At 42.4% G+C, this 24,874-nt stretch overlaps 1 protein-coding gene across 16 annotated transcripts in view; it reads left to right on the top strand.

Moving 5' to 3' along the window:
* Positions 1-24,874, top strand: part of TRAPPC9 (trafficking protein particle complex subunit 9) — a 730,855-nt gene that overhangs the window by 41,271 nt on the left and 664,710 nt on the right. For all 16 annotated transcript variants that reach the window (NR_164662.1, XM_011517326.3, NM_031466.8 and 13 more), the window contains 2 exons: positions 11,611-11,732; positions 19,564-19,689. Coding sequence is in view for 15 of the 16 variants with exons in the window: in XM_011517326.3 (XP_011515628.1) it covers positions 11,611-11,732; positions 19,564-19,689 (248 nt within the window). In the remaining variant the exon portion in view is untranslated. The remainder of the gene's footprint in view (positions 1-11,610; positions 11,733-19,563; positions 19,690-24,874) is intronic.

The following is a 24,874-nucleotide window of genomic DNA, read 5'->3' as shown; positions in this document are numbered from 1 at the left end:
AGATTGCAAAAATTTTCTCCCATTCTGTAGGTTGCCTGTTGACTCTGAAGATAGTTTCTTTTCCTGTGTAGAAGCTCTTTAGTTTAATTAGATCCCATTTCTCAATTTTGGCTTTTGTTGCCACTGCTGTTTTAGTTATGAAGTCTTTGCCCATGCCTGTGTCCTGAATGGTATTGTCTAGGTTTTCTTCTAAGATTTTTATGATTTTAGGTCCTACGTTTAAGTCTTTAATCCATCTTGAGTTAATTTTTGTATAAGGTGTAAGGAAGAGGTCCAGTTTCAGTTTTCTGCATATGGCTAGCCAGTTTTCCCAACACCATTTATTAAATAGGGAATCTTTTCCTCATTGCTTGTTTTTGTCAGGTTTGTCAAAAATCAGATGGTTGTAGATGTGTGGCGTTATTTCTGAGGCCTCTGTTCTGTTCCATTGGTCTATATATCTGTTTTGGTACCAGTACCATGCTGTTTTGGTTACTGTAGACTTGTAGTATAGTTTGAAGTCAGGTAGCGTGATGCCTCCAGCTTTGTTCTTTTTGTTTAGGATTGTCTTGGCTATTTGGGCTCTTTTTTGGTTCCATATGAAATTTAAAGTAGTTTTTTAAAATTTTGTGAAGAAAGTTAATGGTAGCTTGATGGGGATAGCATTGAATCTATAAATTACTTGGGGCAGTATGACCATTTTCATGATATTGATTCTTCCTATCCATGAGCATGGGATGTTTTTCCATTTGTTTGTGTCCTCTTTTATTTTGTTGAGCAGTGGTTTATAGTTCTCCTTGAAGAGGTCCTTCACATCCCTTGTAAGTTGTATTCCTAGGTATTTTATTCTCTTTGAAGCAATTGTGAATGGGAGTTCACTCATGATTTGGCTCTCTGTCTATTATTGTGTCCCTGGCTTTTCTTTCTGGGAGATTTTTTGATTATTGATTCAATCACTTTACTTGTTATGGGTCTATTTAGATTTTCTAGATCTTCTTGAGTTGGGTTTAGTAGTTTGTGTCTTTCTGGGAATTTGCCCAACTCATCTAAATTAGATAATTCATTGGTGTATAATTGTTCATAATATTGTCTTACAATTTATTTATGTAAGGTTGGTAGTAATGTCTATTCTTTAAGCTCTGATTTTAGTAACTTGATTCTTCTCTCTTCTTAGCTAGTTCATAATTTTGTGGTTGTTTTAAGAATGAACTTTGGTTTTTGTTGACTTTTCTCTATTGTTTTTCAATTCCCCCTTTCATTTATTTCTGCTCTAATCTTTATTTCCTTCTTTCTGTTTGCTTTGAATTTAATTTTCTCTTCTTTTTCTAGTTTCTTAGGTTGTTGACATGAGCTCTTTCTTCTGGTTTAAGAGACAGGGTCTTGCTCTGTCGCCCAGGGTAGAGTGCAATGGTACAGTCATAGTTCACTATAGTCGTCTCCTGTGCTCAAGTGATCCTTCAGCTTCGGCCTCTGAGTAGCTAGGACTTCAGGTATGCACCATGCCTGCCTACTTTTTAAATTTTTGTAGAGATGGGGTCTCTCTATGTTACCAAGCCCGGTCTTGGACTCCTGGCCTCAAGTGATCTTCTCACCTCTGCTTCCCAAACTTCTGGGATTATAGATGTGAGCCACTGCACCTGGCCTGTTTTTAAAAAATGTAAGTATTTATAGCTACAAATTGCCCTCTATGCACTGCTTTTGTGGCATATCATTTTTAGTATATTATGGCTTTTTTTTCAGCTCAAAGTATTCTTTTTCTTTTCTTTTTTTTTGTGTGACAGAGACTCACTCTGTCACCCAGGCTGGAGTGCAGTGCCATGATCTCGGCTCACTTGCAACCTCCACCTCCTGGGTTCAAGCTATTCTCCTGCCTCAGCTTTCCGAGTAACTGGGATTACAGGCGTGCACCACCACGCCCGGCTAATTTTTTGTATTTTTAGTAGAGATGGGGTTTCACCATGTTGGCCTAGGTCATCTTGAACTCCTGACCGCAAGTGATCTGGCCACCTTGGCCTCCTAAAATGCTGGGATTATAGGTGTGAGCCACTGTACCTGGCCAGTTTTCAGCTCAAAGTATTTTTTTTCCAATTATTTTTATTTTTATTTTCTTCTTCTTATTTTTAGACAAGGTTCTACTCTGTTGCCCAGGCTGGAGTGCAGTGGCGATTACAGCTCACTGCAGCCTAGAATTCCTGGGCTCAAGAGATCCTCCTGCTTTCGCCTCCCAAGTAGCTGAGACTATAGGCACATGACATCATACCCAGCTAATCAAAGTATTTTCTAATTTCTAGGCCAGGCGTGGTGGCTCATGCCTGTAATCCCAGTACTTTGGGAGGCTGAGGCAGGCAGATCATTTGAGGTCAGGAGTTCAAGACCAGCCTGGCCAACATGGTGAAACCCCATCTCTACTAAAAATACAAAAATTAGTTGGGCATGTTGGCACGTCTGTAATCCCAGCTCCTGGGGAGGCTGAGGCAGGAGAATTGCTTGAACCTGGGAGGCAGAGGTTGCAATGAGCCAAGATCGCACCACTGCACTCCAGACTGGGGGACAGAGAGAGAACCTGTCTCAAATTAAAAAAAAAAAGTGTTTTCTAATTTGTCTTGTGATTTCTTCTTTGACCCATTGGTTATTTAGCTGTGTGCTATTTAATTTCCAAGTATTTGTGAATTCCCCAAATTTCATTCTGTTGTTGATATCTAAAATAGTTCTGTTATAAAAAAAGAATTCTGTTGTGGTTGGAGAACACATTTAAATGATTTCAGTTATTTATTTGTTTATTTATTCATTTATTTTGAGACAGGGTCTCTCTCTGTCACCCAGGCTGGAGTGCAGTGGCATGATCATGGCTCATTGCAGCCTCAACCTCTCAGGCTCAAGCAATCCTTCCATCTCAGCCTCTAAAGTAGCTGGGACTACAGGGCCATGACACCATGCCTGGTTAAGTTTTAGATTTTTTGTAGAGTTAGGATCTCACTATGTTGCCCATGCTGGTCTCGAACTCCTAGGCTCAAGTGATCTTCCTGCCTTAGCCTCCCAAAGTGCTGGGATTTTTGGTGTAAGTCACTGCTCCTGGCCTTCTTTTTATTTTTATTTTTTAAAAATTTCTACTGTAGAATATTTTTTGGTCATGCTTCCTTTATCTTCTTTCAGCTTGCTTAAAAACCACAACTTCTTCATATTTCTTCTTGGGTCAATTTCCCTTTAATTCTTTTGATGATGTATCTCCAGTCTTATTCCAGAATTTTTATGTTCCTGGGGAAGAAAAAGAATCAGACCTTCCTTCAAGACTTGGTTCCTTACTGGGTATATACCCAAAGGACTATAAATCATGCTGCTATAAAGACACATGCACACGTATGTTTATTGCGGCACTATTCACAATAGCAAAGACTTGGAACCAACCCAAATGTCCAACAATGATAGATTGGATTAAGAAAATGTGGCACATATACACCATGGAATACTATGCAGCCATAAAAAATGATGAGTTCATGTCCTTTGTAGGGACATGGATGAAATTGGAAATCATCATTCTCAGTAAACTATCGCAAGAACTAAAAACCAAACACCGCATATTCTCACTCATAGGTGGGAATTGAACAATGAGAACATATGGACACAGGAAGGGGAATATCACACTCTGAGGACTGTTGTGGGGTGGGGGGAGGGGGGAGGGATAGCATTAGGAGATATACCTAATGCTAAATGACGAGTTAATGGGTGCAGTACACCAGCATGGCACATGTATACATATGTAACTAACCTGCACATTGTGCACATGTACCCTGAAACTTAAAGTATAAAAAAAAAAAAAAAAGACTTTGTTCTTCAGTAGGTGTCTGGCAGCTGTCAGTAAAGCCAAAGGCTGGCCTGACGCTTATGTTCCTTTCATCATGGTGTCCAGATGATGACTATTTATTTATTTATTATTATTTTTTTTGAGACAGTCTCGCTTTTGTTGCCCAGGCTGGAGTGCAATGTGTGATCTCAGCTCACTGCAACCTCTGCTTCCCTGGTTCAAGCGATTCTCTTGCCTCAGCCTCCTGAGTAGCTGGGATTACAGGCATGTGCCACCACACCCAACTAATTTTTGTATTTTTAGTAGAGATGGGGTTTCACCGTGTTGGCCAGGCTGGTCTTGAACTCCTGACCTCAGGTGATCTACCTGCCTCGGCCTCCCAAAGTGCTGGGATTACAGACGTGAGCCACCGTGCCCGACCCGGGTGGTGACTTTTTAATTATTGCACACACTGCTGTGGCAGTGGATTCCCCGTGCCCAGCTCAGCACCTGACACTTAGCGAGTGTTATGAGTGTGTAAGTGATGAAGTGACTCATTCTGCTCATGGCCTATGTCCTTTCCTTTCCTTTTTCCTTTCCTTTCCCAGACACAAAGACCAGTGGATCATGGCCTATGATCTTAATTTGTAATTTATCTTCCCCATTTTCATTTCATTTATATTCCCAGTTGTATATGTTTTAGCGCTTTTGTCTTTACGAAATACATCCTGTTTTTAATATAATAGAATTGTTTTGTAGCTTAATGAGTTTACTGTAATTCTAATTTTTTTAAACTGTTGATTTTGAAATAATTTAAAACTTATAAATCTTATAAAAGAGTGGTAAAGATAATTCTGATGTACTCTTCACCCGTATTTCCCAGTTGTTATCATTTGCTTTATTATTTGATCTCTGTGCATATACAAAGTTTTTTTTGAGCGATTTGACAGTGAGTTGCAGACCTGAGGCCCTGTCCTGAATACCTCGGTGTGCATTTCCTAAGGACAAGGTCATTCACATAAACAGTACAGTGATTAAAATCAGAGAATTTAACGTTGATGCATTCAATACCTTTATCTACCCCCCAGACCTTATTTGCATTCCACCAGCTGTTCCAATACAGCAGTTCTATTTCCTGATGCGGGATCCAGTCCAGGATCACACACGGCATTTAGTGTTTATGGCACTTAGTATCGTCTCAGCCTATCTTCGTTTTTCATGATAATTGATATTTCTGAAGAATGCAGGCCATTTATTTTGTGGAATGTTCTCACTTTGTGTTTGCCTGAAGTTGCTTTTTGATTATGAGGTTTTGCATTTTGGCAGGGCAGAAGGAGGGGTCAAGTGATCCATCATGCATTAAATCAGAGGCACATGAGGTTCATTTGTCCCATTACTGGTGAGGCTAACTTTGATAATTGGTTAAAGTGGAGTCTGATGGAGTTTTCCACTGTAAAGTTACTATTTTTCTCGATGTAAATAATAAGTAATTTGTGGGAAATAGTTTGAGACTGTATACATCTTGTTTGTCATCACACTTTCACCCACTGGTTCTGGCTGATTCAGTGAAGAGTTTCACCTGAGTCAGTTATTACTGTGCTGGCTGCCAAATGGCGATTTTCTTGCTTCATCATTCCTTATGTGTTTATTCGCATTTTACTATAAGCAGGAGCTTTTTTTTTCTTTTCTCCTTCTTTCTTTCCATCCATCCACTTATTGTTATGGACTTATGGATCATTATTTTTTTAGTAGGTTCTAATCCATTGCTATTATTCTTTATTTTGTAGCTCATTGGCTAGATTTGGCCAATGGAAGCTCTTCAAGCTGATTCTTAAAACCTTTTGACATGTTCCTCAATCAGTTATTGAACATATGTTTACTTTCAGGCTCAAGATATTTTAGGTTCAGGCCGGGCACGGTGGCTCATACCTGTAATCCCAGCACTTTGGGAATTTGAGGCAGGCAGATCACCTGAAGTCAGGAGTTCAAGACCAGCCTGGCCAACATGGCAAAACCCCGTCTCTACTAAAAATACAAAAATTAGCTGAGCGTGGTGGTGGGTGCCTGTAGTCCCAGCTACTTGGGAGGCTGAGGCAGGAGAATCGCTGGAACCTGGGAGGCGGAGGTTGCAGTGAGCCAAGATTTCGCCACTGCACTCCAGCCTGGGCGACAAGAATGAGACTCCATCTCAAAAACATAGAAAGATATTTTAGGTTCATTTTGTACTTTCCCTGTTCCAGCTCTGGAATCGGACGTTTTTCTAAGGAGTTTTAGTTTCTTTTGTTGGAAAGTGGTATTTAGAAACCAAGGTCTGGTCACTAAGCATGCTCATTGCTCCTAAGGTTCATTGATTCTAGGCCCTTTGAGAAGTTCTACTGTTATGTCAAGTTCATACTAACTAACTAACAAAACCCGTACCTAGAGTTAGAGTTCAAGGATTGGTTGTGGTTCTTTTGGTTATTTATCCTTGGTCATGATACCAAGGATAAATACACAGGGTGCTGCAGTCAGAGGTTACTTGAATTTGTCCTTTAATGCTTCCTGTCAGTGTGATTATGTTATTTGAAATGTAATTATTGCTGTTTATATATCATTAATGAGTTTCCCCATCTTTGCTGATTTTTAAAATCTTTTTTCCTTTTTTTATTTTTACAGTTCTTTGAGTTGCTGTTTTATATTTCTAAATCTATATAATTTTTTTTTTTTTTGAGACAGTCTCGCTCTGTCACCCAGGCTAGAATGCAGTGGTACAGTCTCAGCTCACTGCAAGCTCTGCCTCCTGTGTTCACGCCATTCTCCTGCCTCAGCCTCCCGAGTAGCTGGGACTACAGGTGCCCGCCACCACGCCTGGCTAATTTTTTGTATTTTTAGTAGAGATGGAGTTTCACCATGTTAGCCAGGATGGTTTTGATCTCCTGACCTTGTGGTCCGCCCGCCTCGGCCTTCCGAAGTGCTGGGATTACAGGCGTGAGCCACTGCGCCCGGCCTTTTTTTTTGTTGTTGTTTTATTTTTGAGATGGAGTCTTGCTCTGTTGCCCAGGCTGGAGTGCAGTGGCATGATCTTGGCTCACTGCAATCTCTGCTTCCCGGGTTGAAGCAATTCTTGTGCCTCAGCCTCCTGAGTAGTTGGGACTACAGGCGCATGCCACCATGTCTGGCTAAATTTTGTATTTTTAATAGAGCTGGGGTTTTACCATGTTGGCCAGGCTGGTCTTGAACTCCTGGCCTCAGGCGATCTGTCTGCCGCAGCCTCCTAAAGGGCAGGGCTTACAGGCATGAGCCATTGCGCCTGGTCAAATCTATATAAAATGTTAATATGATTCCAAAAATCAAAACTATATAAAAAGGGTTACCCAGAGAAGTGCCACTTCCTCTCCTATTTTTTTTTTTTTTTTTTTTTTTTTTTTGGAGACAAGGTCTCATGCCCTCACCCAGGCTGGAGTGCAGTGGCATGATCACAGCTCACTGCAGCCTTGGCCTTCTGGGCTCAAGCAGTCCTCCTGCCTCAGCCTCCCAAGTAGCTGGGAATCACAGGCGTGTGCCACCATGCCTGGCTAATTTTCATGTGTTTTTTTGTGGAGATGGGATTTTGCCACGTTGATCAGGCTAGTCTTGAACTCTTGGGCTCAACCCAGGAGCCTTCCTTGGCCTCCCAAAGTGCTGGGGTTATAGGTGTGAGCCACTGCGCCCAGCGCCTCTCCTATTCTTTCCACCTCATTTCCCTACCCTTATATCATTTGTTCCTGGCCTTTTCTTCTTCTTATTTTTTAAATAAACACATTAATGTTCTTAATTCTTTTTCTTGTGCAAAAGGTAAGATATTACATATATTCTTTTGTACTTGGTGTTTTTTGTTCTATTTTGGTTGCTAATGTATCCTGGAGATCAGTCCATATCAGCTTATGGAGATCTTTCTCATCCACTTTCACAGCTGCGTGGCACACTAAGTGTGCAGGTACCGGGTTTTATTTCACCACTCTTCTGCATGTGGATGTTTGATTGTTTCCAGTGTTTGGGAGTTACAGATAATATATCAGCAAATCACATTGCATAGGTATGTTTCTGTACTGTTGAAGGTGTGTCTTCAGTGTAAATTCCTAGAAGTGGAATTACTGGGTCAAAAAGTAAACATAAATGTAGTGTTACTAGATCCTGCCAAAGTCTTCTTCATAAAGGCCGCATCATTCGCACTCACAGTAGCAGTGCATGCGAGTGTTTTCTACATATATACACCAACACTGTGTGTTGTCAGGCTTTTAACATTTTTGCCAACTAGATACGTGACAAATGGCATCTCTTACCATTAATGAAGTTGAATATCTTTTTAAATGCTTAAGGGTCATTTTTATGTTTTTCTTTTATGAATTATCTGCCCAAATCTTTTGGCCATTTTTTTTTTCTGTTGGATTTTTAGTTGTGTTTTTCTTTTTCAACTTTTGTGACCTTGATGTATGTGGAATTAGCCGTTTGTGATATATGTTGCATATATTTTTAAATCAGATTATCATTTATGTTTTGCTGTGTTTATAGTAATTTTGCTGAGTTTTTATGTGGTTGAATATATTAGTCTTTTATTGCGTTTAGGTTTGTGTGATAGAGAGCCTTTTCCTTTGTCCAGGTTTTAGAGGAATTTACCTGTGTTTTTTGAACTATGGTTTTCTGTTTTACATTCAGATCTCAGATCCATTTGGAGTTTACTCTTGTGTCTCCTGTGAGGTGTGGGTTTGATTTTTTTTTTTTTTTTTTCCAAATGGCCACTCAGGTGTCCCAGACCATTATTAAAAAGTCCATCTTGGCCCCAGTGATTCCAGGCACTGTGTCCTGGTGCTGGAGGACTCGATCCCACCCTGTGGCTTATGGATGCCTTGTCTTCCTGCCATTCCTCTGCAAAATAAAGCCTACAGTGCCCACGTAGCAGGGTTTTTGCTTTGTAGTTGGACAGCAGATGTTAGTGACCCAGGCTGGTGCTAGCCTGTTAGCCATTGCTGAAATTATTGCCACACTGGTTCTTGGTGTATCTAAGCCCTTTTTGTGCTTCTCTCTAGGAGAGAAAGGCAAACCTTTCTCAAGCGGCATCCATCTCTGCTGTCTTCCTTCTTTTTTTTGCTTTATCTTATGTGTATGTCTGGGTTTCCAGTTTTGTGCCTTGTATACAGTCTTGTGTGGTAGCAGCTCAGTACCTATCTCTTTAGTGAATGATGAAAGCATTGTTGGGCTGATACTTGAGAACCTTTTTGGTGGTGCCTTTTTCAACCTTCCCCCCTCCCCGTGACTTCTCATCCATGCTCTTTCTTTGTCTCTCCTCCCATCTGGGTCTTAGCCTCCTGTGGCATTGATTTTCCTGCCTGTAATCTACAGGCTATGGGTCTTGATGGCTCTGGTCCACTAGTTCATGATGACATCTCATACGGGCTGTCACAACTTTACAGATGTCAAGAAAGATCAAATCTATGGCTTACTAGTGTTTCTAGAACTTATTAGTCTTTTGTTGAATGAAATTAAATTGGTCTGACCCACTAAGCTCTCTTGGGAGCGATGCTCTTGTTATTTTCCTATGGTTTATATTTTTCTTGGTTGCTCCACATAGAAATTTTTCCTCTAGCCTTGATGTTGAAATTAAGTTTATCAGCTAGACGCAGTGGCTCACACCTGTAATTCTAGCACTTTGGGAGGTCGAGTTGGACAGATCGCTTGAGGTCAGGAGTTCAAGACCAGCTTGGCTAACATGGTGAAACCCCATCTCTACTAAAAATACAAAAATTAGTGGGGCTTGCTGGTGGGTGCCTGTCATCCCAGCTACTTGGGAGGCTGAGGCAGGAGAATCACTTGATTGTAGCGAGGAGGGGGGTTGTAGCGAGCTGAGATCGTGCCACTGCACTCCAGTACCACTGCACTCCAGCCTGGGTGACAGAGAGAGAGACTCTGTTTCAAAGAAAAAAGAAATTAAGTTGATCAAATTAGCCCTCATGACTGGAGATGCCCTTTCTTTAAAAGGTGGAGGGAGCACTTGTTCCTTCTCCGTCGGGGGGATTTCCCTCTTATGCTTTGATCATTTACTCCTCAGAGAAGAGATGAGATACCATGTGAAGAATGAAAAACCCACCTCATTCTGACCCGCCCCCCCCCACCATTTCTCCAAGGGAAAAAAAGAGAGTAAAACTCAACAATGTGAAGATAATTCATTATAGCTAATGAAATAAATCAAGACTCCTTGTCACTTATTAAATATTAACTTATGCTAGAAACAAATGTATTATAAGCATGAAAAGCACACAAAGCACTACACTTCTGTCGTTAAGAACATAGGCCCAAGATGGCCTCCTACTTGGGGTCACCAGCTCTGTAATTGTGAGAACTAGTAAGGAGATTTAATCTCTGTAGGATCTTGTCTCCTCCCCTGCAGAGATGGGGTACACTAAGAATACTCTCATAGAGTTGCTGTAGATGATGACACGTGTGGATGTTCCTGACGTAGGTCCTGCTTCCGCTGAGTGTGAAAAAATGTCGCTTTTGCCCCTATGGCATTATAACAACCTGTGTGAATGCTCACTGCTCGAAGGGGTGCCTGGTACCTGGGGGATGGAGTTCTCAATTCTCTACCCACAGTTTATGTCACCGGGTCGTGCTGATTTGGATCTATTCTTTAAAAAGTGCATATTTGAGATATATTTTTCCAAGCATGCCCTTTTCTATTATCATTTATAGTTCTTCCCTCTTGTCTCTTGCTGTGATTTTCACAAAATCAGCAGGAAACAAAGTCCTAAACCACCTGCCTCTCCACAGTTCTGTTACAGTTCTTTCTTCCCTCACCAGAAGAGGATTTTGCACATGAAATGCTTCGTTCTCCTTTTCTTAGAGTTCTCCTTCCATCTGTCCATCCATCTCTCCACTTACCTGTTTATTCTTCTGTCTTGTTCCAAAAAACCTTTTGAGGCAGCTTACAGAATTAGAGAACAAACAATAAGCAGATGAAAAAACTGGACCAAGATTAGAAAACAAGGGTAAGAAGTGAGCTGCACAGGGGATGAGGGCAGTGTGAGATGCACGTCTTTGGCCTTGTGAGGTTATACAGATGGGTGGCAGGCTCATCCCTGAGCCTCCCAACAGTGCAAGGGAAACAGGATTTGTGGGAGATGCTCACTCTCTGTAAGCTAAACAAGTGGTTTCATAGAAGCCCAGCTTTCCCTGCTATTGAGATTTAGGAGAATATTTTTTGAGTGTTCTGTGAAGTCAATGAATATTTTATCTTTATTTTTTTTCTGCCAGAGTTCTCTGTTTAGTTGGTTATATTCTTTAAATGGAAGTTGCTCCAAAATGCTTGTCCATGTGGGTTTGGTGGCTGGGGAATCAGATGCTTCTGCTTATTGATAGGAGTTGGTCAGAAATAGAAAAAGGCATAGAAAGCATACTATCATTTATAATTTTTTTTTTCAATGCCGTGTGGTTCAGAAAATGCTTTTGCGTAGTTGACCTCCTTTGAGGATGCGGGGTGGTTTCTTGCTAACATGAAGAGCTTCAAGCTATGAGAGAATGTGTGCTGACTTCACCATTGCCTTCAAGACAATTGAGCTAGTTACTGTAAATATGTTACTTTTATGTAATGCATTTCATGTTCTTCAATAAAAAATTTCAAAAGGGAGGAAAACTTATTTTGAGTTAACCAACATTTAATACAATGCTTTGATAGCAAGGCTATTATAGGAAGCATATAAGCTGTGAAGACTAAACACTTACATTATTTAAATTTCAGTAGGGCATATTTAAGTTTTGTCTTATTCATGCTCCTCTTTAACAAAGAAATAATACAGAAAAAGCAAAAGATTATTTCTTTTCTTCCTCTTGGTTTGCAGGTGCCCTCACCACCAATGGCATCAACCCTGACACCAGTACTGAGATCGGACGTGCTAAGAACTGCCTTAGCCCTGAAGACATAATTGACAAGTATAAAGAGGCGATTTCCTATTACAGCAAGGTGATTTTATGGCTTTGTGATTTTTTTTACACAGTTGTGTTGTTTAATCAGAAGTTTCCATTTTACATTGTGTAATGCTGCAGTGTCTCTTAATTATTTATTTCTGTAAGTATTCATGTCTTGCTCTCTAATGCATAGTACTATATGCCTAAAATGTTTTCTTTTTCTGATTCAAAACAGTGTAGGTTTAGTATAATAAATTTGGAAAAGAGAGAAAAAAGGCTCTCATGGCCTGCGTACTCACAGATAATGATTGTTAATATTTTATATCTATTTTCTGGTTCTTTTATCAATGTATATTATTTATATTTTAAGAAATGGAGCATACTTATGTACTGTGTGGTGACCCATTTTAGTCTGTGTTTTCTATGCTGTTGAAATCTTCCAAGGCATAATTTTCAGTGACCTGTAGAGCATTCCATCTTATGGAGGCACCCTTCTTTTTAGTTTGGATTGAAAACAATTTTGCATTCCAAATGTACTTACTAAAATACTGGAAAAGAAAAGTTGTGCCGAAGAGTGGCATCAAGTAAAAAAATGAAAGTCCTCTACCTCCTCTACTCTTATTAACAACTTGGTTTATTATCAACAACTTGGTCCATAGCCTCCATGACCTTTATGCCTATGAGACACACACACACACACACACACACACACACACACACACGCATGCTCACACACACGTGCACACATGCACTTACACGCGCATGCTCACACCCGCACACAGGCACGTACACACGCATGCTCACACACATGCACATACACACATGTTCACACACACATACATACAAGCATGCTCACACACGCACACACATGCACGTACACACATGCTCACGCGTGCACACATGCATGTACACACATGCTCACATGTGCGCACACATGCACGTACACACACATGCTCACATACACGCGCACATCTTATTTATGAAAATGGGATCATAGTATGTTATTCTGCACTTGCTTTACCCACTCAGCAGTATCTCATAGACCACAGGTGTACTCTCGCCTCCGGACCTGCTTGCTTCTTTCAGAGCATGTGGAAAGGTTTTCTAAAATCCTGCTTGCTTCTTTCAGAGAGTGTGGAAAGGTTTTCCAAAATGTGGATGTAGTCATGTATTCATCAAGACATTTTGTGAGACATGCTCATAAACAGCACCTAGAACAAGATGAAATGCCTGCTCTTAAGATTTCACAGCTTGCCTTAATTTGCTTAATTATTCTCTCGTGGATGGATACTTAGGCTTTCTCACTTTTTCACCGTGAATTAGAAAAAATGCTTTACTGAACATTTTTGCCCCTATATTCTTGTGTTCTTGTATCCTTATTCCTTTAGGTTCAATTTTTCTAGAAATTTATCCTGGATATGATATTAACATTTATCATAGGTTATGTTCAAGTTACTCTCCAAATTCCTCCTCTGATAGAGAGTGAAAAGATGTAGAATTATTTATTTCACCAATCCTGTTACTGATTATTATTTATTTCTGTTTTTTCTTCCCCCTATTGTAAACAGTTCTCTGATAAATGCCCCTATGCATACATCTTTTTGGATTGATTTTTTTTAAGGGAACAATTCCTAGAAGTTGACTTGAGTTAAAGAGTATATGTTTTTTTTGGCATGGTACAGTGGCTCACGCCCGCCAGTAATTCCAGCACTTTGGGAGGCTGATATAGGCAGATTGCCTGAGCTCAGGAGTTTGAGACCACCCCGGGCAACATGGTGAAACCCTGTCTCTACTAAAATACAAAAAATTAGCCAGATGTGGTGGTGTGCACCTGTAGTCCCAGCTACTCGGGAGGCTGAGGCTCAAGAATCACTTGAGCCCTGGAGGCGGAAGTTGCAGTGAGCCGAGATCACACCACTGCACTGCAGCTTAGGCTACAGAGTGAGACTCCGTCTCAAAAAAAAAAAAAAGTATACTTTTCTTAAAGTGTTATATATTCCTGTATTGTCCTCCAAAAAGGTTATTAACAATTTACTCCTCCATAAACAAACACTAGCTATTATTTTTGAAAAATATTTGCCAATACAGCTGAGTGCATTGGCTCATGCCTGTAATCCCAGCACTTTGGGAAGCCTAGGTGGGTGGGTCACTTGAGGCCAGGAGTTTGGCATTATGCTTAGAAATATCTTTTTTTTTTTTTATGGAGACAGAGTCTCGCTCTGTTGCCCAGGCTCGAGTGTAGCAGCATGATCTGGGCTCACTGCAACCTCCGCCTCCTGGATTCAAGTGATTCTCCTGTCTTAGCCTCCTGAGTAGCGGGACTACAGGTGCGAGCCACCATGCCCGGCTAATTTTTTATATTTTTAGTAGACACAGAGCTTCACCATGTTGGCCAGGCTGGTCTCGAACTCCTGACCTCAAGTGATCTGCTCACCTTGGCCTCCCAAAGTTCTGGGATTACAGGCGTTGGCCACTGCACCTGGCCTGCTTAGAAATACTTTCTTAATGATAGAATAAAACTCTTTTCCTTAGTTTTTTAATCTCTAAAATGAGGATGATAACAGTACCCATCATCTCATAGAGCTGTAGTTAAGATAAGCTGAGATAATCTATGCAAACATATATCTGTATTCACCGTTATTAGCATTTAAAATATTTTTATAATTATCTAATTATCTGTAATTTATTTTGTGTGTATTATGACATAAGAATACAATTTATTTTTTCCAGGTCATTACCTCATTGTCGCACCACAATGTATTGAATTCATATTTTTTTCTTTTTGATTTGAATTCTTACCTGTACTAAATACTTTCACATATTAACTTTTCATTCCTTTCTATGAATCTTTCTTTTCTTCAGCACCATATTTTATCTATTTTAGTAGTTTACTTGATATCTAAGAGTGTTTCTTTCTTTCTTTCTTTTTTTTTTTTGAGACAGGGTTTTGTTCTGTTGCCCAGGCTGGAGTGCAGTGGCGTGATCACGGTTCATTGCAGCCTTTATCTCCCAGGTTCAGGTGATCCCCCCACCTCTGGCTTCCTGTGTGCTGGGACTACAGGTGTGCAACACCATGCCCAGCTATTTTTTTTGTATTTTTTGTAGAGATGGGGTTTTACCATGTTGCCCAGGCTTGTCTTGAACTTCTGGCTCAAGCAATCTGCCTGCTTCGGGCCTCCCAAAGTGCTGGGGTTACAGGCGTGAGCCACTGCACCCACCCATTTTTTTTTTTTTGAGACAGGGTCTTGCTCTGTTGCCCAGTCTGGAGTGCAGTAGCATGATCACAGCTCACTGTAACCTCAAAATCCTTCACTCAACCAATCCTCCCACCCTCATCCTCCTACCTCACTTGGCCTCACTCAGATGACCAAGTAGCTGTAACTACAGGTGCATCCCACCGCACCTGGCTAATTTTTTATTTTTTATTTGTAATGACAGGGTCTGTCCATGTTGCCCAGGCTTGTCTGGAACTCCTGGCCTGAAGCAATCCTCCCACCATGGCCTCCTGAGACGCTGCGATTACAGGCCTAAGCCACTACACATAACCTCCCAGAATAAAACATATTGAAAGCCCCATCAAAACTCCAGTCTGTTTTTTTTTAACTTGAACAAATTATTTTAGAATTTTTGAGGAATAATATATTAATCATACTGGCCATGAAAATTTGGATGGTAGGAAAGAATTAATTAAAAAAAAAAAAAAAGAGGTTGAGTGCAATGGCTCATGCCTGTAATTCCAGCACTTTGGGAGGCTGAGGTGGGAGGATCACTTGAGCTCAGGAGTTCCAGACCAGCCTGGGTAACATGGCAAAACCCCGCCTCTACAAAATATACAAAAAAATTAGCCGGGTGTGGTGGTGCACACCTGCTGTCTCAGGTACCAGTGAGGCTGAAGTGGGAGGATCACCTGAGCCTGGGAGATTGAGGCTACGATGAGCTGTGATCAAGCAACTGCACTCCAGCCTGGGCAACAGAGCAAGACTCTGTCTCAAAAAAAAATAATTTTTCATGATTTCATTTTAAATCTCTTTGTAATATACATTAAAATATGTAAATTTAACCAAAAATATGTGGGAAAAATTTGTGATGACTTTTATTCTCACGTCAATAGAAACTGTTTTAAGAGATTTGAAGGAAAAATGGCATTTCCATAGAATCAAGTCCCTGTGTTAGTTTTTTCTTGTGTCATGAAACAGTATATACAATTGATAGATTTCTGACTTCATTGTTGGTATTTAAGCAGGTATAAGTAGCTCCTTTTTCTGATCGTCTGTGATAACTTATATTTAATATAACAGATTACATGTACATTATATGTGTGGAAAAGGGGAGGAATGAAGCCTACCCTTTCTGACATAGTAATTATAAAACTGCTTGTCCCACCTTGTACATGATTTTAGTGAGAAAGATAACCAGTTGCGCCTTTGCTTCTTCATGATTGGTAAATAGACTGCATGTTCATTAGCAGTGATGCCACACCAGGCCACTAGTGGGTCTCAGCAAAGGCTTGTCGATTATATGCATTGGTTTTCACATGACCTAATGCCCCAGCAAAAGAATATTAGTGTGTTTTTCCTCCCAACCTCTGTTTCTCTTCAGGTACTAGTATACATGGACAACCTCTATAAACCCTTTCTTTAATTTTAAATTATGCAACATCAGTTGAAAATCAGTCCAGTTGGGATAACTAGGAAAAAAAATAAAAATAAGGTTTGGAGTAGAAAACAAAAATGCAGAATGGCTAGCATGGAGGATTTTGCAGTGGAGGCTTGGGAGGGAGAAGGGCATTGGAGGGAAGGAAGGAGATCCATCCATCTGAACTCTTCTTTTTTGGAAGGGTTCTGGAACCTGAATCCTTCCTCCTTTCCCTGCTCCCGGGTCTGGAGCCACATGGTGTGTAAGAGGGGGTGGGGATGGCTCTCCTGGCTTGAAGCTAGGAGAACTGGGGATGAAGCTTAAGAGATACTCCCCAGTTTATTGCATAGTTGAATGAAATTCCACGAAGGCTTTTCTGTTCCAAACGCCCTCATTTGTTCTTCATCTCAGGAACCATAATAGGAACTGAGAAGTAGGAACAAGCAACTCTGAGACAAAGTCAGAAAGCATTGAGCACACAGGGAGCCGGATGTTTTGCAACCAAGTAAAATGAATTTACAACAACTGCATTACAGCCGCAGGTGTGAGAGTTTCTAAAAATGTTTGAGAGTACTACAAGGGATGATAAGCAGAAATGGATAGCAAAGCATCCATTGATAATATTTTGAAATTTTGCAAAATAGCAAGCTACTGTGGTCATATTATTTTAATGAATGCATACACATTTATGTGGCATTCATAGACTCACTCAGCCACACCAATCGCTTTTGCTTCCATAAAGGATAGACTTTCTCACAAACAAATTCTCTGGCTTTGGTGGGGAGGTGTATTAGTCCATTTTCATGCTGCTGATAAAGACGTACTGGAGACTGGCAATTTACAAAAGAAAGAGGTTTAATTGGACTTACAGTTCTGTGTGGCTGGGGAAGCCTCACAATCATGGTGGAAGGCAAGGAGGAGTAAGTCCCGTCTTACATGGATGGCAGCAGGCAAAGAGAGAATGAGGAGAGGACTCCAAAGCGGAAGCTCCTGATAAAAACACAGATCTCATGAGACTTATTCACTACCACAAGAACAGTATGGGGGAAACCACCTCCACAATTCAATTATCTCCCACTGGATCCCTCCCACAACATGTGGGAATTGTGGGAGTACAATTTAAGATGAGATTTGGGTGGGGACACAGAGTCAGATTATTGTCATTCCACCCCTGGCCCCTCAAATCTCATGTCCTCACATTTCAAAACCAATCATGCCTTCCCAGCAGTTCCCCAAAGTTTTAACTCATTTCAGCAGTGACTCAGAAGTCCACACTTCAAAGTCTCATCTGAGACAAGGCAAGTCCCTTCTGCCTATGAGCCTATAAAATCAAAAGCAGCTGCTTATTTCCTAGATACAATGGGGGTATACACATTGGGTAAATACAACCATTCCAAATGGGAGAAATTGGCAAAACAAAGGGGTTACAGGGCCCATGTAAGTCCGAAACCCAGAGGGGCAGTCAAATCTTAAAGCTCTAAAATGATCTCCTTTGATTCCATGTCTCGTATCCAGGTCATGCTGATGCAAGAGGTGGGTTCCCATGGTCTTGGGCAACCCTGCCCCTGTGGCTTTGCAGGGTACAGCCCCTGTCCTGGCTGCTTTCATGGGCTGGCATTGAGTGTCTGTGGCTTTTCTAAGTGCACAGTGCAAGCTGTCAGTGGATCTGCCATTCTGGGGTCTGCAGGATGGTGGCTTTCTTCTCACAGCTCCACTAGGCAGTGCCCCAGTAGGGACTCTGTGTGGGGGCTCCAACCCCATATTTCCCTTTTGCACTGCCCTAGCAGAGGTTCTCCATGAGAGCCCCACTCCTGAAGCAAACTTCTGCCTGGGCATCCAGCTGTTTCCATACATCTCCTGAAATCTAGGCGGAAACTTCCCAAACTTCAGTTATTGACTTCGGTGCACCCACACACTCAACACCACATGGAAGCTGCCAAGGCTTGGGGCTTGCACCCTCTGAAGCCATGGCCCGAGCTGTATGTTGGCTCCTTTCAGCCTTGGCTGGAGTGGCTGGGACACAGGCACCAAGTCGCTAGGCTGTACACAGCATGGTGACCCTGGGCCCGGCCCACGAAACCACTTTTTCCTCCTAGGCCTCCAGGCCTGTGATGGGAGGGACTGCTGTGAAGACCTCTGACATTTTCCCCATTGTCTTGGGGATTAACATTTGGCTGCCTCTTACTTATGCAAATTACCACAGTTGGCTTGAATTTCTCCTAAGAAAATCTGATTTTCTTTTCTATCTCATTGTCAGGCTGCAAATTTTTCAAACTTTTATGCTGTTTCCCTTTTAAAACTGAATGCTTTTAACAGCACCCAAGATATCTCTTGAATGCTTTGCTGCTTAGAAATTTCTTCTGCCAGATATCCTAAATCATCTCTCTCAAGTTCAGAGTTCCACAAATCTCCAGGGCAGGGGCAAAATGCCACCAGTTTCTTTGCTAAAACGTAACAAGAGTCACCTTTGCTCCAGTTCCCAACAAGAACTGAGATCTCCATCCGAGACCACCTCAGCCCTCTTTCGTTGTCCATATCATTGTTCATTTCATTGTCCATATCATTATCAGCATTTTGGTCAAAGCCATTCGACAAGCCTCTAGGAAGTTCCAAACTTTCCCACATTTTCCTGTCTTCTTCTGAGCCCTCCAAACTGTTCCAACCTCTGTCTGTTACCCAGTTCCAAAGTCGCTTCCACATTTTCAGGTATTTTTTCAGCAACACTCCATTCTGGGTACCAATTTACTGTATTAGTCTGTTTTCATGCTGCTGATAAAGACATACCTGAGACTGGGCAATTTACAAAAGAAAGAGGTTTAACTGGACTTACAGTTCTGTGTGGCTGGGGAAGCCTCACAATCATGGCAGAAGGCAAGGAGGAGCAAGTCAGGTCTTACATGGATGACAGCAGGCAAAGAGAGAATGAGGAAATGCAAAAGCAGAAACCCCTGATAAAACCATCAGATCTTATGAGACTTATTCACTATCATGAGAACAATATGGGGGAAACCACCCCCATGATTCAGTGATCTCCCACCAGGTCCCTCCTACAATGTGGGAATTATGGGAGTACAATTCAAGATGAGATTTGGGTGGGGACACAGAACCAAACCATATCAGGAGGGGTATCTGGAGCCCTGTGATGGGGGAAGTGCTGTTGTAGTTATTGAGTCCCAGTAGCACAGCCTTTAGAATGTGACAGAAACATCTGAACTCTTTTTTGACTGAGGCATTTCCTTTACACCCTGCAGTATAAGAATGCGGGAGTGATTGAGTTGGAAGCGTGCATCAAGGCTGTACGTGTCCTTGCAATTCAGAAACGGAGCATGGAAGCATCAGAATTTCTTCAGAATGCAGTTTACATTAACCTTCGACAGGTGAGTGTATGTCTACCTGTAAGTGGAAGAGTTCATCCAGTTCTTACGGAATTGATTCACTATGAATTCAGCTTATTTCGTTTTGCTGAGGTTCAGCATGCCATGATAAAAACTGTTGAATCTTAACTTGATTTCTAATTAACATGGTTATTTGTATATTTTACTTCTTTCATTGTGGTATTTAACTTTCAAAATTCAGAACTTGCTGTCCTTTGCATTTTTTTTGTTTGTTTTTTGGAGAAGTAACTGTGTTTTACCAGCTTGGCAACCTTCAACAAGCTTTACGCCTCTTGTCTTGATATTGTCACTCATGAAGTACTTGCCATTTGTAACCCTGTTTGGGGTGTTGGGTTTATAAAACATGCAGTTTGTGAAAGCACTTATATAGCTCCTTTGACACAGTGGTAACCCAGCAAATAATACTTTAATCTGAATCTAAATGGATTTTTAATAAAACAATCATTAAAACCTTTAGTTGTGGATTGATAATGCTAAATCCTAAAATTGATAGTCTTAGAAGGATTTTAGATATTTAGTTAGTTTAACTTGGATCTTTATAGATAGGGAAACTGAGACCAAGTTAAACAATTTGCTTAAGGACACCAGACGAGTATGAGAACGTAGGTCACTGTAATTCAGCAGATACTTAGGAGGGCGTTGTGCTAAGGGTGGGGGAAAGAGAGCTGAGGCAGGTGGGTCCTGTCCTCATCCATCTGACAGTTTTGTGGGAAAGGCAGACATTGAGCAGTGGGTAAGTGGAAAAAAATTGGAGGTACAGGTGCCAAGGGAGGAAGTGGCAAAAGGATTTAACTTAGTTTAATGGAGGTGGAGGGTGTGGGGGCCAGGGACAGTCTCTAAGTCAGTGAGATTGGAACTGGGCCTTGAAGGATGAATAGGAGATAGCCAGGTAAAGAAGAGATGGGAGAAGGTCATTCAGGAAGAAAATGGCTCAGCATGAGTGATGCCCAGAAACAGAACACATCACTGGGAGAGACCAAATAAAGTCAGAGATGGCGGTGGGGGTAGAAAGATGGGGAGATGGAGAGGTAGGGGAGGAGAGGGAGGGAGGGAGAGGAAGAGAGGGGTAGGGAGGACAGAGTCTGAGCGGGAGGGCTTTCTCGGCCAGGTGAAGCATTTGGGGCTGCTTCTAAGAGCGGCGGGTTTTAAAAGCAAGGTCTTGGCCAGGCGCAGTGGCTCACGCCTGTAATCCCAGCACTTTGGGAGGCTGAGGCGGGCAGATCACGAGGTCAGGAGATCGAGACCATCCTGGATAACATGGTGAAACCCCATCTCTACTGAAAATACAAAAAATTAGCCAGGCGTGGTGGCGGGTGCTTGTAGTCCCAGCTACTCAGGAGGCTGAGGCAGGAGAATGGCGTGAACCTGGGAGGCAGAGCTTGCAGTGAGCCAAGATCACACCACTGCACTCCTGTCTGGGTGACAGAGTGAGACTCTTGTCTCAAAAAAAAAAAAAAAAAAAAGGCAAGGTCTTAACATCAGGGACTGATGTGACCAGATTTGTATGGAGTGGAGGGAGAGGAAGGGAGGGGGCCCATTGCAGAGGCCCTTGGGGAGCCCAGGCGAGCAGTGCTGACAGCTTCCCCAAAGGACTGGGGCTGTTGGCAGGAAGGCCAGCCCGCTGGAAACGTGCTTGGGAGTCTACGTGGAAAGGGTCAGCGGCCGGCTGTGGGTCGGGTGGAATGGAGTGTTGCTCTGTTAGGTGCCCGATGGTCAGGCCGGGCTCCGAGGAGGGCAAGCTGCAAGGCAGTGGTGGAGGGAAAGAGGAGAGGTTCAGCTTCTCACATAACGAGAGAGGTGTGGGTCTGGGGGCTCAGGCGAGAGACAGGGCAGGGGGTGGAGGAGAGAGGAGAGAGACTTTCAAATCAGTTTCTCTTTTGAACACACAAAGAAGTATGACTAATAATAAGACACTCATGCTTATCATCCAGATTTAATATGTTGAAATGTTGCCGCATTGACTACAGAGATTCTTAATTTTTTCAATTGAAAGCAGATAACCTAAGTAGAAACAAAATAACAGTCACCACCATCTCAGAGTTGGTCCATATTTTGGTACTTTATAATGTTTATAGCCATAGTCTATAAAAAGAGAGGCGCTTTAGCATGAGAGTTGAGCACACAGACTGGATACAGACTGCTCGGGTTGGCATTCCAGCTTCACTTCCCTTGACGAGATGTTTAACCTCTGTGTGCCTCAGTTCCCTCTTCTGTAAAGTGTATTTACTGCCCCTTGGACCCGTCATCTTGGCTAATTTCCTAGATTAGACGTTGGTAGGGAGGCCGATAAGTCAAAGTGGCAAGTGTCAGTGTCACACCAAAGGGAGCGACCAGAACAGAGTAAAGCCCATAAACCGAGTAAAAACAAACAACACCACAGTCCCTCAAAGCTGTAGGCCACGTAGTATGAGGGAAACAGCACCACCGCTGGGGCAGTGTGTCATCAGAAGAGCATTAGGAAGAGGTCCGTATCTTGCAGTTTATGTTGAAGTTTCTGGTAAAGATGGTCAGAAGCGGGAACCTGACACTTCAAAGTGGAAGCTTCAGTTACCTGGGCGCCCAAGGGGAGGTGTTCTCCCCAGTGATGCCGGGCAAATGAACCAACAGCTGGATCATACTTCTCATTTGACATGCTTTTTGGGGGACCTACGTGGGGTTCAGCACTGCGCCGGGCCACAGATTTGCAGGGCCAATGAGGATGTGGTCCCTGCCCCGGAGCCTGATGCTCTAAGTGCTGAGGGTGGAGGGCTTCCCGGAGGAGGTGTTCTCTGAGGAGAGTGAAAAGTACCCGGCAGAGTGGTGCTGAGGAGCCTCTGAGCAGAGAGACTGGGTGTAAACATGTGGCTGGGTGTGAGCTCTGAGCACAGAAGTCACTTGGGGATCATAGCAGTTTTGTTTGTGAGGGACAGTGTGGGGAAGAGAGGCCCCAACGCAGGCTGAGGTCAGTTCCTGTCACAGGTCTTGCATAAAAGTCATCAGGTGGGCAAGAGAGAATCCCTGAAGGAATCTAAGCTGGGAGTCGCAGTGGAGTCGCGCTGTCAGATGGGCTCAGGTTCACACCCCTGTGTTGCCACCTGTTCGCTGCATAACCTTGAGCACAATCACTCTGTGTCTCTGCCTCTTAATAGTATGGTCTGTAAAATGACAGGATAACAAGTTCATGTGGTCACTGGAAGGACTGGCCTTGACACCTCCTGTCCAGTACTGTCTTGATGCCTGCCCCATAAAGTGACTCTGCGATGGGCAAGTGTTATGATCAGATTGGAGGGTGTAAAGAGACATCTTTTGTGACAGTGGAGGGTGGACTGTGCTTTTAAACGGACCCTCCGAAAGCCTGAAGCAGTGGAATTGCAGACAATTTGGTTGGGAGCTGGGGGCAGGGCTTTGAGACTGGCTTGCCGTTAACAACTGGAGTTGCCTTTGCAAGTTAATGCTGCTCAATTGGGCATGCAGGGAATCTCTTTTCACTGGTGGGTATAGAAACACACATTTCATAAAATAAAATGTTTTCACTTAAAATGTGAGGACATTTTGTTCTTTGGAGCAGCCTGTCCTTTTGCTGTTTGCTCTTTCTTCCTGTGGACCACTAGAGGTCAGCAAAGACACGGCGAAAGGGGAACAGCGCTCCCATGCTGGGCGGGCGGGGACAGTGCAGATGTGGTTCCGTGGCCCTGTGAGTTTTCCCCAGCACGACGCTTGGCTTGAGTTGACTCATCTCCATGTTTGTTTGCCAGATGAGCAGGCAGCAAGATAATGAGTTCTGGTGGGATTTTATAAGAACAATAAAGAAGAGGGGTCTGTAGTTTTTCTGAAATAGAACAAGCTTTTGGTTCTTGATCAAGTATGTTCCATTGTAGAATTGATGAGTTGTATCTATTCCTGGAAATGACTTTGGCTAATATGGAAATTTTGAAAGGAACTGAGATATGATTATTGCAGGTTCCTTCTGCTTTAAGAATCCCTGTGCAAATACAAAAACTGATAAATAATACATCTGGATTTAGTGGTATTGGAAAGGGTTTTTTCGTTTTACGGAATTCACTGCTGAGTTCCTTCTCTTTGTGTGCAGGGATATGGATTGACCTGTCTTTTCTTTAGTTGTTTAGGTGAATGGTTTATGATAATTATCTATCTAAGATAATTCACAAATGGCAGCAAATACCTCATTTAATAGCTGTCTACCTGTACATTTATGGGTTGGACATGTGGATTTTTACAAGCAAATAGTGAAGTAGAGGTGAGGTGGAAGAAGCATGGACTTTGGCCCCCCAGATTTAGGTTGAAGTTGCCATTTCCTCACTGTGCGACCTGGAATAGTTATGTAACCTCATTAGCCTGTTTCCAAGTCTATAAAATGGGAATGATAGCTGGGTGTGGTGGGGGGCACCTGTAATACCAGCTACTCGGGAGGCTGAGGGAGGAGAATCGCTTGAACCCAGGAGGTGGAGGTTGCAGTGCGCCGAGATGGCGCCACTGCACTCCAGCCTGGGTGACAAGAGCAAAACTCCATCTAAAAAAATAAAATAAAATAAAATAAAATAAAATAAAATAAAATAAAATAAAATAAAAATAAAATGGGAATGATAATATTCACTTCTTTCTAGAGTTGCTGTAAGTTGTGAATGATAGAATAATGCATATAAAGTGCTAAGCACTGTGCTTGGCTTTTAGAAAGCATTCAGCAAACATGTCTGCCTCACGGCTCACTGGTTGTATCAAAGGGATGCAGGCAGCTCCTGTTTGTTGAGGACCCATTAACAGACAGTTTACAGGCTTGTGAATTTGGTTATTTTCTTTAATCCTTATAATTCTGTGTTTCCAGTACAGATATTCTTGTTTGTAGAGGAGGAACCTCAGGCTAAGGAAAGGTTGTACAACTTGTCCAAAGCCAGACCATAATTTCAGAGGCGAAGGGCCTCTGGGAGGCGTGCTGGTTCTCTCTTTCCTGCCCTCACTCACTTGTTCCACACCAAAGGCCAGGCACTCGGCGCTGTGTCCGTCGTCTGCTAGCCTTGAGCGTTCAGCGGGCAGCAAAACAGACGTGGTCTCATGCTGACTGAGCTTCAGGTCTACAGGGGGAAATGGGTACTGAGCAGATAAACATAAACATAGATAATTGTGAATTTGATCCAAGGAAAAGAACATGTTCTGCCTTGTAGACCTGGGG

Source organism: Homo sapiens, chromosome 8 (genome assembly GCF_000001405.40).
Source record: "Homo sapiens chromosome 8, GRCh38.p14 Primary Assembly".
NCBI lineage: Eukaryota > Metazoa > Chordata > Mammalia > Primates > Hominidae > Homo > Homo sapiens.
Note: the sequence above shows the minus strand (reverse complement) of the source record. Positions and strands in the feature narration are given on the sequence as shown.